Raw genomic sequence first — 14810 nt, 5'->3', positions numbered from 1 at the left:
GCTTTGTGCTTCTGCTTGATAATCGGTTCTTTAGTTGAATGGCTTTATTATTTATTTATTTGAGATGGAGTCTCACTCTGTTGCCCAGCCTGAAGTGTAGTGGTGCAAGCTTGGCTCACTGCAACCTCTGCTTCCCAGGTTCAAGCGATTCTCGTGCCTCAGCCTCCTGAGTAGCTGGGATTACAGGTATGCGCCACCATGCCAAGCTAATTTTTATATTTTTTTGTAGAGACTGGGTTTTGCCATGTTGGCCAGCCTGGTCTTGAACTTCTGACCTCAGGTGATCCGCCTGCCTCGGTCTCTTAAAGTGCTGGGATTACACATGTGAGCCACTATGCCTAGCCTGAATGGCTTTTTTATATTTAAAGTTGTTGTGTGCCTTTCATCTGGAGCTACACCTTGGCTATCACTAGGCAGGTTTCCCAGGATGTCACCCTGGTCTCAGCCTGTGAGAGCTGAATGCAAATTCTAAGGGCCCCTTGGAAAGTTCCAGGGAAAGGAGCATAGCGAGGTTGGGGGTGGAGTTTGTAGAGACTGGCTGGCTGGCTGCTGACATCTTCATGAGAACAGCAGGTACCTTGGTGCATAATAACAGGCCAGGTTATACTCTCATCCTTGCCCTCATAAAGATACAGGTCTACAGTCTCTGAAACCTTTGGGCTAGATAAGTTGTGAAATTTAATTACCCAATTTTCGGAAGGTGGTAAGGCATATCTACTATGTGTATGTGTAGCACCCCAGTGGAGTCCTACACATGTGGAGTCCTACCCCAGTGGAGACCAAACATGTTAATATTTCCACAGCAAATATTCACAGTAAGAGGGATAGAGAAAGATTGTAGGTAGTTGCATATTGATTCATATCAGTCTTTTCTTCCAAATGAGCTACAATGACTCATTTTTGAGAGCTGTTTGGGTTTTGGAAGTGGAGATAAGGCACGGTTATGTCTTGATGACCCAATAATGACCGGGGAGGCCTTGTGCAAAGACTTACCCTTGGCTGCTCTTGTCCTCACAGTGATTCTATGAGGTCCTCTAGCCACTGTCATGTCACAGGTGAGGAAACCAAAGTTGGAGGATGAAGGTAACTTTTCTGATGTCGCGCAGCTGGTAAATGGCAGAGCTGGGACCCAACCCAGGTCTTTTTGACTCTAAAACTAATGTTCCTTATTGTCCACTGAATCTGCCTTTATAACTTTGCTTGGTCGATGCTAGGACACTTTGTAGCTCACTGGCCATGCCATGAATTGAGTGCCATGGTTCAAAGGCCACTGGTGATTCAGTCAAGGCAGGCTCAAGGGCACACAGCCATTTCCTTAGGAAATGGGGATGGTGGTTGAAAATTTCTATTAAAGGGTATATAAGCATTCTGAGACTTGGCTGGCCGGGTGTAGGGGGTTTGTTGGGAATTTAGGTGGTTTGCATGTTTAAAGGAATAAGACTGAGATTTCCAATTAGATAGGTTTTAGCTCATTTGAATATTTAATGTGGAGGCTGTGGTTTCCTGGGACATTTTTCCCACTGTGGAGAGTTAGCCAGCTTTTCTCTGTTTCTTTTTTCTTTTTTTTTTTTTAATCGAGATGAAGTCTCATGCTTGTCACCCAGGCTGGACTGCAATGGTGCAATCTCAGCTCACTGCAACCTCCGCCTCCTGGGTTCAAGCGATTCTCCTGACTCAGCCTCCCGAGTAGCTGGGATTACAGCCACCTGCCACCATGCCCAGCTAATTTTTGTATTTTTAGTAGAGATAGGGTTTCACCATGTTGGTCAGGCTGGTCTTGAACCCCTGACCTCAGGCAATCCACCCGCCTCCCTCCCAAAGTACTGGGATTAGAGGCATGAGCTACCATGCCCGGCCGCCCTTCTCTGTTTCCAGATCATTTTGTATTAACTCCCCCTCATGATATTTTCCATGGCAGGCTGAATAATGGCCCCTCCAAAGTGTCCTCAACTTAATCCCCGGAATCTGTGACTATGTTCCTTTCCATGACAAAAGGGACTTTGCAGATGTGATTAAGCATCTTGAGATGGGAACTTATCCTATGTTGCCTGTGGGCCCAGTGTCCCATCACAGTGCTTTTTTTTTTTTTTTTTTTTTTTTTTTGAGACAGAGTTTTGCTCTTGGTGCCCAGGCTGGAGTGCAATGATGCAATCTCGGATCACTGCAACTCCATCTCCCAAGCTTCAAGTGATTCTCTTGCCTCAGCCTTCCGAGCAGCTGGATTACAGGTGCTCGCCAACATGTCCAGCTAATTTTGTTTTTCCGGTAGAGATGGGGTTTCACCATGTTGGCCAGGCTAGTCTCGAACTCCTGACCTCGTGATCTGCCCACCTTGGCCTCCCAAAGTGCTGGGATTACAGGCGTGAGCCACCACATCCAGCCTACAGTGTTCTTTTAAGAGGGACTCAGCAGTCAGGGGAGATGGCAATGCGATGATGACTGAGTGTCTTAGTCTTTTTTGTATTGCTATGCAATATCTGAGGCTGGGTAATTTATAAAGAACAGGTTTATTTCTTAGAGTTCTGGAGGCTGGGAAGGTCAAGATCAAGGGGCCTGCTTCTGGTGAGGGTCTTCTTGCTGTGTCATCCCATGATGGAAGGTATCACATCAAGAGAGAAAGGGGGCTGAACTCAATCCTTTTATTAGGAACCCATCCCCATGATAATTAACCCTCTGCTGAGATAACATCATTACTCTATTAATGAGGGCAGATCTTTCATGACCTAATCTCCTCTTAAAGGTCCCACCTCTCAACACTGTTGCATTGGGGATTAAATTTCCAACACATGAACTTTGGGGGACACATTCAAACCATAGCACTGTGCAGAGATTGGAGTGATATGCTTTAAAAATGGAAGAAAGGGCCACAATCCAGGGTATATAGGTAACCACTAAAAGCAGAAAAAGGCAAGAAAACGGGTTTTCCCTTCAGAACCTCCTGAAGGAATCAGTCCTTTACAACTTGACTTTAGCCAAGTGAAACTGATTTGAGGCTTCTGAACTATAGAACAATAAGATATTAAGTCTGTGTTGTTGTAAGCCAATCAGTTCATGGTAATTTGTTACAGCAGCCATAGAAAACTAATTGACTCACCAATGGGAGAAATCAGCTGCTGATTGAAGGTTACCAAACATCTACTTCCTTTCCTAACGTCACTTTAATTTTATCTTGGAGGAATTCTTTTCCCTACCCCATTAAGTTATGGGAGATGGGGCCAGGCATGGTGGCTTAGCAATCCCAGCACTTTGGGAGGCTGAGGCAGGTGGATCACTTGAGGTCTGGAGTTTGAGACTAGCCTGGACAACATAGTGAAACCCCATCTTTACTAAAAATACGAAAATTAGCCAGGTGTGGTGGTAGGCACCTGTAATCCCAGCTACTCCAGAGGCTGTGGCATGAGAATTGCTTGAACCTAGGAGGCAGAGGTTGCAGTGAGCTGAGATCGCATCACTGCACTCCAGCTTGTGTGACAGAGTGAGACTCCATCTCAAAAAAAAAAAAATTTTGTGGGAGAGGATGGTAAAGCTAAGTATCTTTTGCACCTACTCCCCAGCCCCACCACTGCAGAAGCTGAAGGGGTTCCTAGAGGCTTCTTCTGCCATGGAGCGGATCCCACTGGCCCCTAGCTAGAGGTGGGTGTAGGACTTTGAAACATGAACAAATGGAGCTGGGATGGTAAGGGCGGGAACAATATTGTGCTAATCTGAACTCTGCACTTCCTAACTTTGGCTCTGGGTAAATTACCTCAAATTGCTGAGCCTTTGTTTCCATATTTATAAAATGGGTGCAGTAAGAGTACCAACCTCTTCTATGCTGTTTGGAGGAGGCAGGTCCATAAGGTACCTGGCATGTGGTAGGGGATTCATGAATGTTGGCTTCTATCATTAAGGGTGGGGGAGCCACATAAGTAGCCAGAGGGAGTCATAGAAAGTTCTTGAGCCAGAGAAGTAAGATAATCTTTTCAGCTTTTTGTGCAGCATAAAAGGCGGGTAATTTGCTTGCCTTTGACCAAGGAAATTTGGGACGTGCCAGGCCTGGGGTGAATGGTGGGAACCCAAATAGAGGGATATTTCTCATTGGCTGAATTAACTGTGATTCCATTTTGCGGAGCAGCCAGGTTGCTTCATGGTGGACCTGCTGCATGCCTACATGATGGTGCCATGGATAGCTCTTGTTTGTGCCAGCCCTGTATCTGACACCTCCTGTGGTAATTGCATCCCTATTTTTCAGAAGGAAGCATCCCTCCTCCCACTTTCTGGTTTTCCCCATGTCCTTCTGGAGGGGATGACCCCAACTGCTTCCTGAAGGGGCTTCCTGAAAGCCAGGTCTGGCCAGGCTGGATGTGGTGGTTGGCTCAGGCAGGGGCATGTGGCCCAAACGGGTCCAGTGAAAGTCAGTCCTGGGACTTTGGCTGGAACTATTGGGGAACAGCCTCTGCTTTCTTGCGCAGATGTGAGTTAGGAGCTGCTCAGGCCACTATGTGGAAAGAATTGCATGAGAATGAAGTAATCAAAGGGAAGCAAGCACCGAGACATTAGAGAGACTTATCTTGTATAAGTGCCTGTATCCAGCTATGCCTGAAGTGAGGTACCACCCCAGGCCTTTTCAGTCATGCTATCAGTTTTGTTCCTTTTTTCTGTTTTACTCTTGGTGGAGTTATTTTTTTTTTCCTTGTTACTTGAATAAGAAAAATACCAAACTAGAAGGCTGGGTGCAGTGGCTCATGCCTGTAATCCCAGTACTTTGGGAGGTCAAGGCAGGTGGATCATGAGGTCAGGAGTTTGAGATCAGCCTGACCAACATGGTGAAATCCTGTCTCTAATAAAAATACAAAAAAATTAGCCAGGCGTGGTGGTGCGTGCCTTTAATCCCAGCTACTCAGGAGGCTGAGGCAAGAGAATTGCTTGCATCTGGGAGGCGGAGGTTGCAGTGAGCCGAGATCGTGCCACTGCACTCCAGCCTAGGTGACAGAGCAAGACTCCATCTCAAAAAAAAAACAAAAACAAAAACAAAAAAGCAAAACAAAAAGAAAACCAGACTAGTAAATGCAACCATTTACAAATCCCAAGAGACTCTTGAAGATTCTTTTTGTTAGTAGGGAAAACATTCTCCATTTTTCTGCCAACTTTAGGGTTTTCAGAGAAGTTTTGGGGAGAGAAAGGAAAGCAAACAGGTGGGAAGAAAGAGTCCTTGAAACCCCAAGTCGGGCGAACTCCTCCCAGCTACTTATACCACAGGGTTTTGGGAGCAGAGCCCCTTTCATTAAACTTTTAGGATTCTTGGATGGATAGGGTGGGAATTACACCAGTGAAACTCAGCTTTGTGTGTGCCAGGCATTGGGCCCTGGGATATGCAGTCATGTGTTGTATAATGACATTTTAGTCAATGACAAACCACATGTAAGTCACTGGTACCATAAGACGATTATGGAGCTGAAAAATTCCTATTGCTTAGTGACATAGCCATTGTAATGTTAGGGTAATGCATTTCTGTGTTTCTGGTGATGCTGGTGTAAACAAATCTGTGCTGCCAGTTCTATAAAAGCATAGCATGTACAATTACATACAATATATAATACTTGATAATGAACAACTATGTTACTGGTTTATTTTATTTTTTTGAGACAGAGTCTTGCTCTGTCGCACAGGCTGGAGTGCAGTGGCGCGATCTTGGCTCACTGCAACTTCTGCCTCACAGGTTGAAGCGATTCTTCTGCCTCAGCCTCCTGAGTAGCAGGGAATACAGGCACCCACCACCACGGCCAGCTAATCTTTGTATTTTTAGCAGAGATGGGGTTTCACCACACCGCCCAGGCTGGTCTCAAACTCCTGACCTCAAATGATCTGCCCGCCTCAGCCACCTGAAGTGCTGGGATTACCCACATGAGACACTGTGCCCAGCCCTGGTGTATTTAGTGTTTTTCATAATTTTAGAATGTATGTCTTCTACTTACATTAAAAAATAGTTAACTATAAAACAGCCTCAGGTAGGTCCTTCAGGAAGTATTCTGGAAGAAGAAGGCATTCTTATCACAGGAGATGACATCTCCATGCGTGTAATTGCCCAGGCGGGAGTGCAGTGGCACAATCTCGGCTCACTGCAACCTCCGCCTCCTAGGTTCAAGCGATTCTCCTGCGTCAGTCTCCTGAGCAGCTGGGATTACAGGTGCACACCAACATGCCTGGCTAAGTTTTGTATTTTTAGTAGAGATGAGGGTTTCACCACGTTGGCCAGGATGGTCTTGAACTCCTGACCTCAAATGATCTGCCTGCCTCGGCCTCCCAAAGTGCTGGGATTACAGGCGTGAGACACCACGACTGGCAAAATTTTTAAGATACATTTCAGTAAGCTAAGGTTAATTTATTGAAGAAAAGCTTTAAAAAAATTTGGTGTAGCCTAAGCATATGGTGTTTATGAAGTCTACAGTAGTGTACAGTAAGGTCCTATGCCTTCACAATCATTGACTCATCCACAGCATCTTCCAGTCCTGTAAGCTCCTTTCGTGGTAAGTGCCCTATACAGGAGTACCATTTTAAATTCTCTTATGCTCTATTCTTACTGTACCTTCTCTATGTTCAGGTACACAAGTACTTACATTGCGTTACAACTGCTTATGGTACATTCAGTAAAGTATCAGGCTGTACAGGTGTGTAGCCTAGGAGCAATAGGCCATACAGCCTAGGTGTTTAGTAGGCTATACAAGGCTATACAAGGTTTGTGTTAATGCACTTTGCTGTTTGCACAATGCTGCAATCACCTAAGGAGGCATTTCTCAGAACCATCCCGTGATTAAGAGAGGCATGATCATACAGTCATCATCTCCCTGAAAGCTCAGTCAACCCTGTGCAGTGCTACTGCCACACTCCCCTTTTGCACATGTAGAAATCAAGGATCTTTGGCTCCTCTGAGTGACTTGTTCAAGGTTTCTCAGTTTCCAAGAGATGGAGGCGGGACTTGAATTGAGATTTCCCTTTCTTGAGAACCTGTGGTCCTTAACCATTAAAACCACTTAAGAGGTCTTCTCTCTTGATCACTACCTACTAAGTGCTAGGCGCGGTGCTGAGGCGTTCTCTTGATTATGATATTGAGTCTTCAGATTTCGGAGAAACAGGCCGAGCGCGCTGGCTCACGCCTGTAATCTCAGCACTTTGCGAGGCCAAGGCGGGAGGATCACAAGGTCAGGAGATGGAGACCATCCTGGCTAACACGGTGAAACCCCACCTCTACTAAAAATACAAAAATCAGCAGGTGGTGGCGGGCGCCTGTAGTCTCAGCTGCTCCGGAGGCTGAGGCAGGAGAATGGCGTGAACCCGGGAGGTGGAGCTTGCAGTGAGCCGAGATCGCGCCACAGCACTCCAGCCTGGGTGACAGAGCGAGACTGTCTCAAAAAAAAAAAAAAAAAAAAAAAAAAAGATTTAGGAGAAACAAGTCCCGAAGCCCTGACCCTAACACGCAAGGGTTAGTGGAGATGTGGGACTTCAACTCAGCTTCTCCGTTGAGTCTGGCTGTCTCCGGGACGCAGGCACCTGCTTGCACACCTCCACGGTGGCGATCCCGCCCCCTTAGTAGCGTCCTTAGCTGGGCACTTCTTGCAGGGAAGCTCCTCTTGGCCCAGACCCTCGTCCTAGGCCCCGCGTGGTGGGGGAAGCGAAAGGGGCAGTGTGGGGAAGTGGCCGAGGGGTCGGGTCCGGGGTGGTCTGCAGAGAGGCAGGCGGCGGTGCCGAGCCGGGAACCACGCGCTCACCCGCGGAGTCGGACGGGCCCGGCGGGGGTGGGCGAGACACTGGGAACAGCGGCCAGCTCCAGAGGGCGCGAGGCGGGGCGCGCGGGGAGGGAGGGGGCGCGGCGAACGCGCGCGTGCGGGGTTCGTGTGTGGGCCCGCGGGGGCGCGCGTGGCTGGGGGGCAGTGAGGGTCGCCTCGGCGGCGAGCAGCACAGCGGGAACATGGCGCCCGGAACTGGCGAGCGCGCCTAGCTGGCGGGACCGTTAGCTCGAGGCGGACGCGGCCCGGACCCGGTGGATGTGGAGCAGTCGCCGCTGCCGGCGCCCAAGCCGACCCCAGGGCCGACCCCCGCAAGGAGCTGAAGGAGGTGGGAGCCCCAGTCGCCGCGGGCGTCGGCGCCGGTGAGTGCGTGAGGGGCTCGGGCCGGGAGACTTTCTTTGTGAAACTCCGGCGGTGGGAGCCTGGCCGGGCCTCAGCGGCTGAGGAGTGCCTGTGAGGCGGAAGGCGTCTGGCAGTCCGGGTTCCATCCCAGCCGCTAGCCGTCAGGCGGCGGGACCTGGTCCGCCGCCTGCCTGCCTCAGTTTCCACGGGAGTGTGTGCGGGTGTGTGAGGGTGTGTATGGGTGTTGGCCTGCGCACACCGGAGGGGGGGTCGGTATACTGTCAGCGCCTAATGCGCGCGGCGCCTCCCCCCTCCCCCCAGTCCCCGTGGGGCGGAACCTGGGGACTGGAGTCCACCGGAGCAGTAGGCGGCACCCGCGGGGAGACAGATGTCCGCACAGCCCGGGAGGCTCAGGTGCTACCTTTCCCTGGTGGGGTTTGTGAGGAGTGAGCTCTTCGTTCCCGGAGGCGAGCAAGTCTGTCGGTGGCTCATCACAGAGCGCTGTTTTGGAAAGCGTTCCACCCACCTCAGCTTCCTGCTGTGTTTGGGCCACTAGTCAGGGGGAAGGATGCTGAGCGACATGGACTTTAGAGGTGGGACCCCCGCTGGACGGGATGGGTCTGGGCTCTCGAGCTTACCCCCACCCTTTCCTCCCAAACCCGTTAGAGCGTAGGAATCATTGGGAGCACCTGATAAAAATGCCACGGATTGTGGCTCACCTAAGCAGGGAAGCCGATTTGGAACTTAAACAAGCTCCCAAGTTGTGATCAGTCGAGCTTGGCAAGCACTGTTTGAGAGAGTAGGCTTCCCGCAAGCAGGAGCCGGTTTTGTGTATACCTCACCATGGCATCTTGGTACCTGGCATGGTGCCTGGCACACGGTAGATGATCAGAAAATATCTGTAGAAAGTCTAAATTATTAGGGAGAGTGCAGCATAGGAGTTCTTGAGACATTTTCAGGAGCTTCTTGAGATTAATATCTGTCAGATTTGTTTTACAGTATATTTTTCTCAGCTCCCAACTTTTGTGATTGTTTTTAATGCCATGTTTTCAGTATGTTCTAGGCAAAAGCAGGGTATATGTTGCTTAGTATACACTATCGAGTAGGCCGGTTGTGGTGGCTCACTCCTGTAATCTCAGCACTTTGGGAGGCAGATTGCTTGAGCCCAGGGGCTTGAGGCTGTAGTGAGCCAAGGACTTAGAGACCAGTGTGGGAAACATAGCGAGGCTCGTCTCCGCAAAAATTAGCTGGGTGTGGTAACGTGCACTTGCAGTCCCAGCTACTCTGGAGACTGAGGTGGGAGGATCGCTTGAGCTCAGGAAGCACAAGTTGCAGTGAGCCAAGGTTGTGCCACTGCATTCCATCCTGGATAACACAGCGAAACCCAGTCTCTTAAATAAGTAAATAAATACATAAATGATTATGTATACTCCAGCTAGGTTAAAATTAATTCTGAATCAAAATTCTAAATTAAAATATGCATGTTTCTTTGTCTTCATCATTTGAGAACACTAGGCTTTTAGGATTTCATTCCGTTGAGGCAGGTAAATATCTACATTTTTGACAAAGCAAATATGAATTACTGTTAATTCGAGAAAGGTGGGAATTTGCTTAAACCTGAGTATTTGTAGTCTTTGTGACTTTTTTAAATTTTAAATTTAAATTTTCTTTTTTTTTTCTTTTTTTTTGAGATGGAGTCTCACTCTGTCGTCCAGGCTGGAGTGCAGTAGCACAATCTCAGGTCACTACAACCTCCACCTCCCGAATTCATACGATTCCCCTGCCTCAGCCTCTGGTGTAGCTGGCATTACAAGTGTGTGCCACCATGCCCAGCTAATTTATGTATTTTTAGTAGAGAGGAGGTTTCACTGTGTTGCCCAGGCTGGTCCCAAACTCCTTGACCTCAAGTGATCTGCCCACCTTGGCCTCCCGAAGTGCTGGGATTACAGGTGTGAGCCACAGCACCTGGCCTTATTTTTATTTTTTTGAGACGGACTCTCAGTCTGTCGCCCAGGTTGGAGTGCTGTGGCATGATCTCCACTCACTGCAACCTCCACCTCCCAGATTCCAGTGATTCTAATGCCTCGGCCTCCTGAGTAGCTGGGGTTACTAGACCCGGGTAATTTTTGTTGTATTTTTTTAGTAGAGACTGGGTTTCCCTATGTTGGCCAGGCTGCTCTGGAACTCCTGGCCTCTAGTGAGGCTCATGCCTCGTCCTCCCAAAGTGCTGGAATTACAAGCATGAGCCACTGCCCCCAGCCAATCTTTGTGATATTTTGAAATTGACGTTTATATTTTGTTCAGAGTCAAAGCTAAAATAGAATTGTTTGAAAATTAATATTTCAGGAACTATTTTTTAATTAAGTTGAATTTTATTTTATTAGTTTCATTTCAGTAGAGTTTTAACCTAAAAAATATATATATACATATACACATATATACGTATATATATATATATATACGCATATATGTGTATATGTGTGTGTGTGTATATATATATATATATATATATTTTTTTTTTTTTTTTTTCCTGAGACGGAGTCTTGCTCTGTCACCCAGGCTGGAGTGTAGTGGAATGATCTTGGCCTCACTGCAGCCTCCACCCTCCCGGCTCAAGCAATTCTCCTGCCTCAGCCTCCCAAGTAGCTGGAATTACAGGTGCCCACCACTACACCTGGCTAATTTTTATATTTTTAGAAGAGATGGGGTTTCACCATGTTGTCCAGGCTGGTTTTGAACTCCTGATCTCAAATGATCTGCCCTCCTTGGCCTCCCAAAGTGCTGGGATTACAGGCGTGAGCCCCCGTGCCTGGCCTAAAAAATATTTTTAAAGGCAGGATCTAGCTATGTTGCCTCAGCTGGTCTTGAACTCCCAGTCTTGGCCTCAAGTGATCCTTCTTCCTCAGCCTTCTGAATAGCTGGAAGCACAGCTGTGAGCCAGCACACATGGCTTTTTTTTATTTCTAATAAAGTTAATAGAGTTTCTTGTTTCACTGGACAAAATATGCATATATAGGAAGGAAAGACTTTTGGACTTGAGATTGCGCTGAAGAAGAAAAATGGAAAAATTAAGCATTTTAGTCTCTCAGTGTGTTATTTTTGTAGCTTATACAGATATGTCTTTTTAAAGTGTCTTTAAAAAGCTTTATTGAGATAAAGATAAATGAGATAAATTCACCTACCATGAAATCAACCCCTTGAGTGCAGAATTTTGTGGTTTATAATATGTTCACAGAATCGCACAAACAAGACAGGTATCTAGATACTTTCAGACCATTTTCATCAGTCCACAAGAAATCCCATACCCATTAGCAGTCATCCTTATTCCCTTTTCCCCTAGTCCCTGGCAATAACTAGCTTACTTTCTGTCTCTGAGTTTAGCTGTTCTGGAGGTTTCACAGAATGAAATCTTACTACATATGGTCTTTTGTGATTGACTTATTTCACTTGACACAGTGTTTTCAAGGTTTATCCATGCTGTAGCGTATATCAACACTTCATTCTTTTTTAATGCTGAGTAATCTTTTGAATGGATATACCATATTTTTTCAGTTCCTCTGTTGATAGGCACTTGAGTTTTTTTTCCAATTTTTGGCTATTATGCACAATGCTGCTGTGAACATTTGTGTACAAATTTTAGTGTGGATGTATATTTTCATTTCCCTTGGGTATATCCCTAAGGAATACACTATCCGGGTCATATGATAATTGTTTAAGACTACAGGCACGTGCCACCACACCTGGCAAATATTTAAAAATTTTTTGTAGATAAAGGGTCTCGCTATTTTGCCCAGGCTGATCTTGAACTCCTGGCCTCAAGAGATCCTCTCACCTCAGCCTCCCAGAAAGTGTTAGCATTACAGATGTGAGTCACTGCACCTATAAAAGAGGTTCATACCTCTTTTTATGTATTTTTTTTTTGAGACAGGCTTTCACTCTGTTGCCCAGGCTGGAGTGCAGTGGTGGGATCACAGCTCACTGCAGCCTGGACCTCTCTCCATATGATTCTAGCTGTGGGTGTCTTTCCTGTAGTTTTTATTATGTTGTGGTATGTTTCTTCTGTACCCGTTTATTTGAGGATTGATAGCATGAAGGGATGTTGAATTTCATCAAATGCTTTTTCAGTTTCAGTTGACATGATCATACTGTTTTTGTCGTTTATTTGGTTGATATGATGTATCACATTGTATGTTGAGTGACTCTTGCATCCCAGGGATACATCCCACTTGATCATGATGAATTATCTTTTTAATGTTTTACTGAATTTGATTCACTGGTATTTCGTTGAGGATTTTTGCATCAATATTAGAGATACTGGCCTGTAGTTTCCTTCTTTGATGCCTTCGTCTGATTTTGGTATCACAGTAATAATGGTCTCATAGAATAAGTTTGGAAGTATTCCCTCCTGTTTTTCAAAATAGTTTGAGTAGGATTTGTACTAGGTCATTAAATTGTTTGGTGTGAAGCCATCAGCAGTGAAGACATCAGTTCCTGGGCTTTTCTTTACTGGGAGACTTTTTCTGATGGCTTCAATCTCATTACTTGTTACCAATCTGTTCTGGTCTTGGATGTTTTCATTGTTCAACCTAAGTAGGTTGTATGCATCTAGGAATTTGCCAATTTCTACTAGGCTTTCCAATTTATTGGCATATAATAGCCAGTTATGATCCTTTGAATTTCTGAAGTATTAGTTGTAATGTCTCCCTTTTTTAATCTGTTGATTTTATTTATTTGAATCTTGTCTCTTTTTTCTTAGTTAGCCTGGTTAAAAGTTTGTCAATTTTGTTTTGCTTTCCAGAAAACCAACTTTTCATTTCATCTTGTGTGTTTTTTTCTTTCAATTTTATTTCTGCTACGATCTTATTTATTTTTCTTATTTTTGGTTTAGTTTGTTCTTACTTTACTAGTTATTTAAGATGTATTGTTTATTTGAAGTTTTTCTTTTGTTTGGATGGTAGGCACTTATAGCTGTAAATCTCTGCCTTTGTACTGCTTTCTGCATAACAAGTTTTGGTATACTGTGTTTTCGTTACCCTTTGTTTCATGAAATTTTTGAATTTCTGTCTTATTATCTTCATTGACCCGCTAGTCATTTATTCAGGTGGGTAGTGTTTAACTTCCATGTGATTGTATTGTTTCCAAAATTACTCTTCTTATTGATATCTAGTTTTATTCCTTTGTAGTCAAAGAAGATGGCCACGGAGACAGCAGTGTGGTCAGAGTGGTGGAGCTGGTCATCGGCGAGAGCTGCTCCATGTCTGTCTGCTGAGTGCTAGAGCCTGTGGCCCACTGGCTTGCCTCACTGTGGTTGATGGTGGCGGTGACAGAGACTGCAGCACGACCAGAGTGGTAGGACAGGGGCTATCCAGGGCTGCACCTTTCACAGTGTGGGGTGGGTTGGGGGTGCTATCCAGGGTGTCATTGCCTGCATTAGGGGCACTGGTTGGTAGCACTGTACAGGGCTGCACTTCCCGTGGCAGGGAGGGTGGGTTATGGGCACTTTCTGGGGCTGCAGTGCCCATGGAGGAGGACAGGTTAGGGCACTATCAGGTATATGCTACTGGCGGCATTGGGGGATGGAGGTGGGGGGCGCTATTGAGGGCAGGACTATCCATGGAGCGGGGGCGAGTTCGGTGCTATCAGGGGCTGCACTGCTGGCAGTGGTCAGCAGAGTTGGCATCCAAGGAAGGAGTGGTTCTCCTCTCCCTGACTCCACATTCCAGAGGGCGACCCACTCTTGGTCATACTGGAATGCGGCAGGCACGCAGCGTTTGCGTGGGAATCCTGAGCACGGCAGAACCCCCACACCCACCATGGTTCCTGGGCCTGTGCACTCTGGGTCTGTGCCTCAGAGGCTGCCAGGCACCCCTGGGGACACCACGGGGGACAGGGCCCTGGGTGCGGAGGCGTCTGGAACAGGAATTGGCACCTGGGTGCGGAGGGCTGGCTGGGTCTGAATTTTTCTGCTTCTCCTGCTCCCCGAGGAGTGCAGCCCCGGTGGGCCCAATGGTTCCTGTGGAGTGGGGAGCTGGGTGCTGTGGTGTCTCCAGCACCCACCCCAGACCCCAGTTCCCGGCCAGCTTGGGCCAAAAGGAGAGGCTGGACTTTGGAGGGTGGGTGTGAGTGCCTTTGCTGAAACTGGCCCCTGCCACCCAGTGGCCAGCATGACAAGTTGAGGCTCTAACCCTTCCACCCCTCACATCTTCCTCTAGGCTTTTCTGGCTTTGCCCACCCAGCTGCTCCATGCCAGGAGGAGGAGGAGACACCTAGAGCCTGCGACACCACGACTTGCCTCACTGCGGGTGGGTGGCAGCGACAGAGACTGCAGTGCGCCAGAGCGGTAGGAGAGCGGCCGCGCTAGGAGGGCAGGCGGCTGCAGCCAGGGTTGGGGGTCAGGCTTACAGCGATGGACGGGCTGCAGCAGTGGCCAGGTGGTAGGAGCCTTGTAGGGAAGGCTGGTGCATTGGCAATGGGCCTGGCTTTGCCCTGCATTGCCCTGTACCCGCCCTACTGTTACCTGGACTGTCTCGGCCCTGTCCTGCTCTGGTCCCATCCTGACCCTGTCTTGGCCCTGTGCTACTCTGTCCCTGTCCTGGTCTTGCCCTGGCACTGGCCCTGCCCTGAACTGGCACTGGCCCTGCCCTGAACCTGCACTGGCCTGACCTTGGCTCTGGCCCTGGCTCTGGCCCTACCCCTTGTCCTGAC

The 14810-nt window shown here is 47.6% G+C and overlaps 1 non-coding gene across 1 annotated transcript; it reads left to right on the top strand.

The window, feature by feature from the left end:
- Nucleotides 1-7936: 7936 nt before the first annotated feature.
- Nucleotides 7937-14409, top strand: LOC124907782 (dual specificity protein phosphatase 22; the record flags this gene model as incomplete). Its single annotated transcript, NR_185478.1, is given in 3 exon segments — nucleotides 7937-8125; nucleotides 13289-13454; nucleotides 14318-14409. It is a non-coding gene; the product is annotated as a dual specificity protein phosphatase 22 (transcript).
- Between the last annotated feature and the right edge of the window lie 401 nt (nucleotides 14410-14810).

This window comes from Homo sapiens, assembly GCF_000001405.40.
Source record: "Homo sapiens chromosome 16 unlocalized genomic scaffold, GRCh38.p14 Primary Assembly HSCHR16_RANDOM_CTG1".
In the NCBI taxonomy this organism is placed as follows: domain Eukaryota; kingdom Metazoa; phylum Chordata; class Mammalia; order Primates; family Hominidae; genus Homo; species Homo sapiens.
Note: the sequence above shows the minus strand (reverse complement) of the source record. Positions and strands in the feature narration are given on the sequence as shown.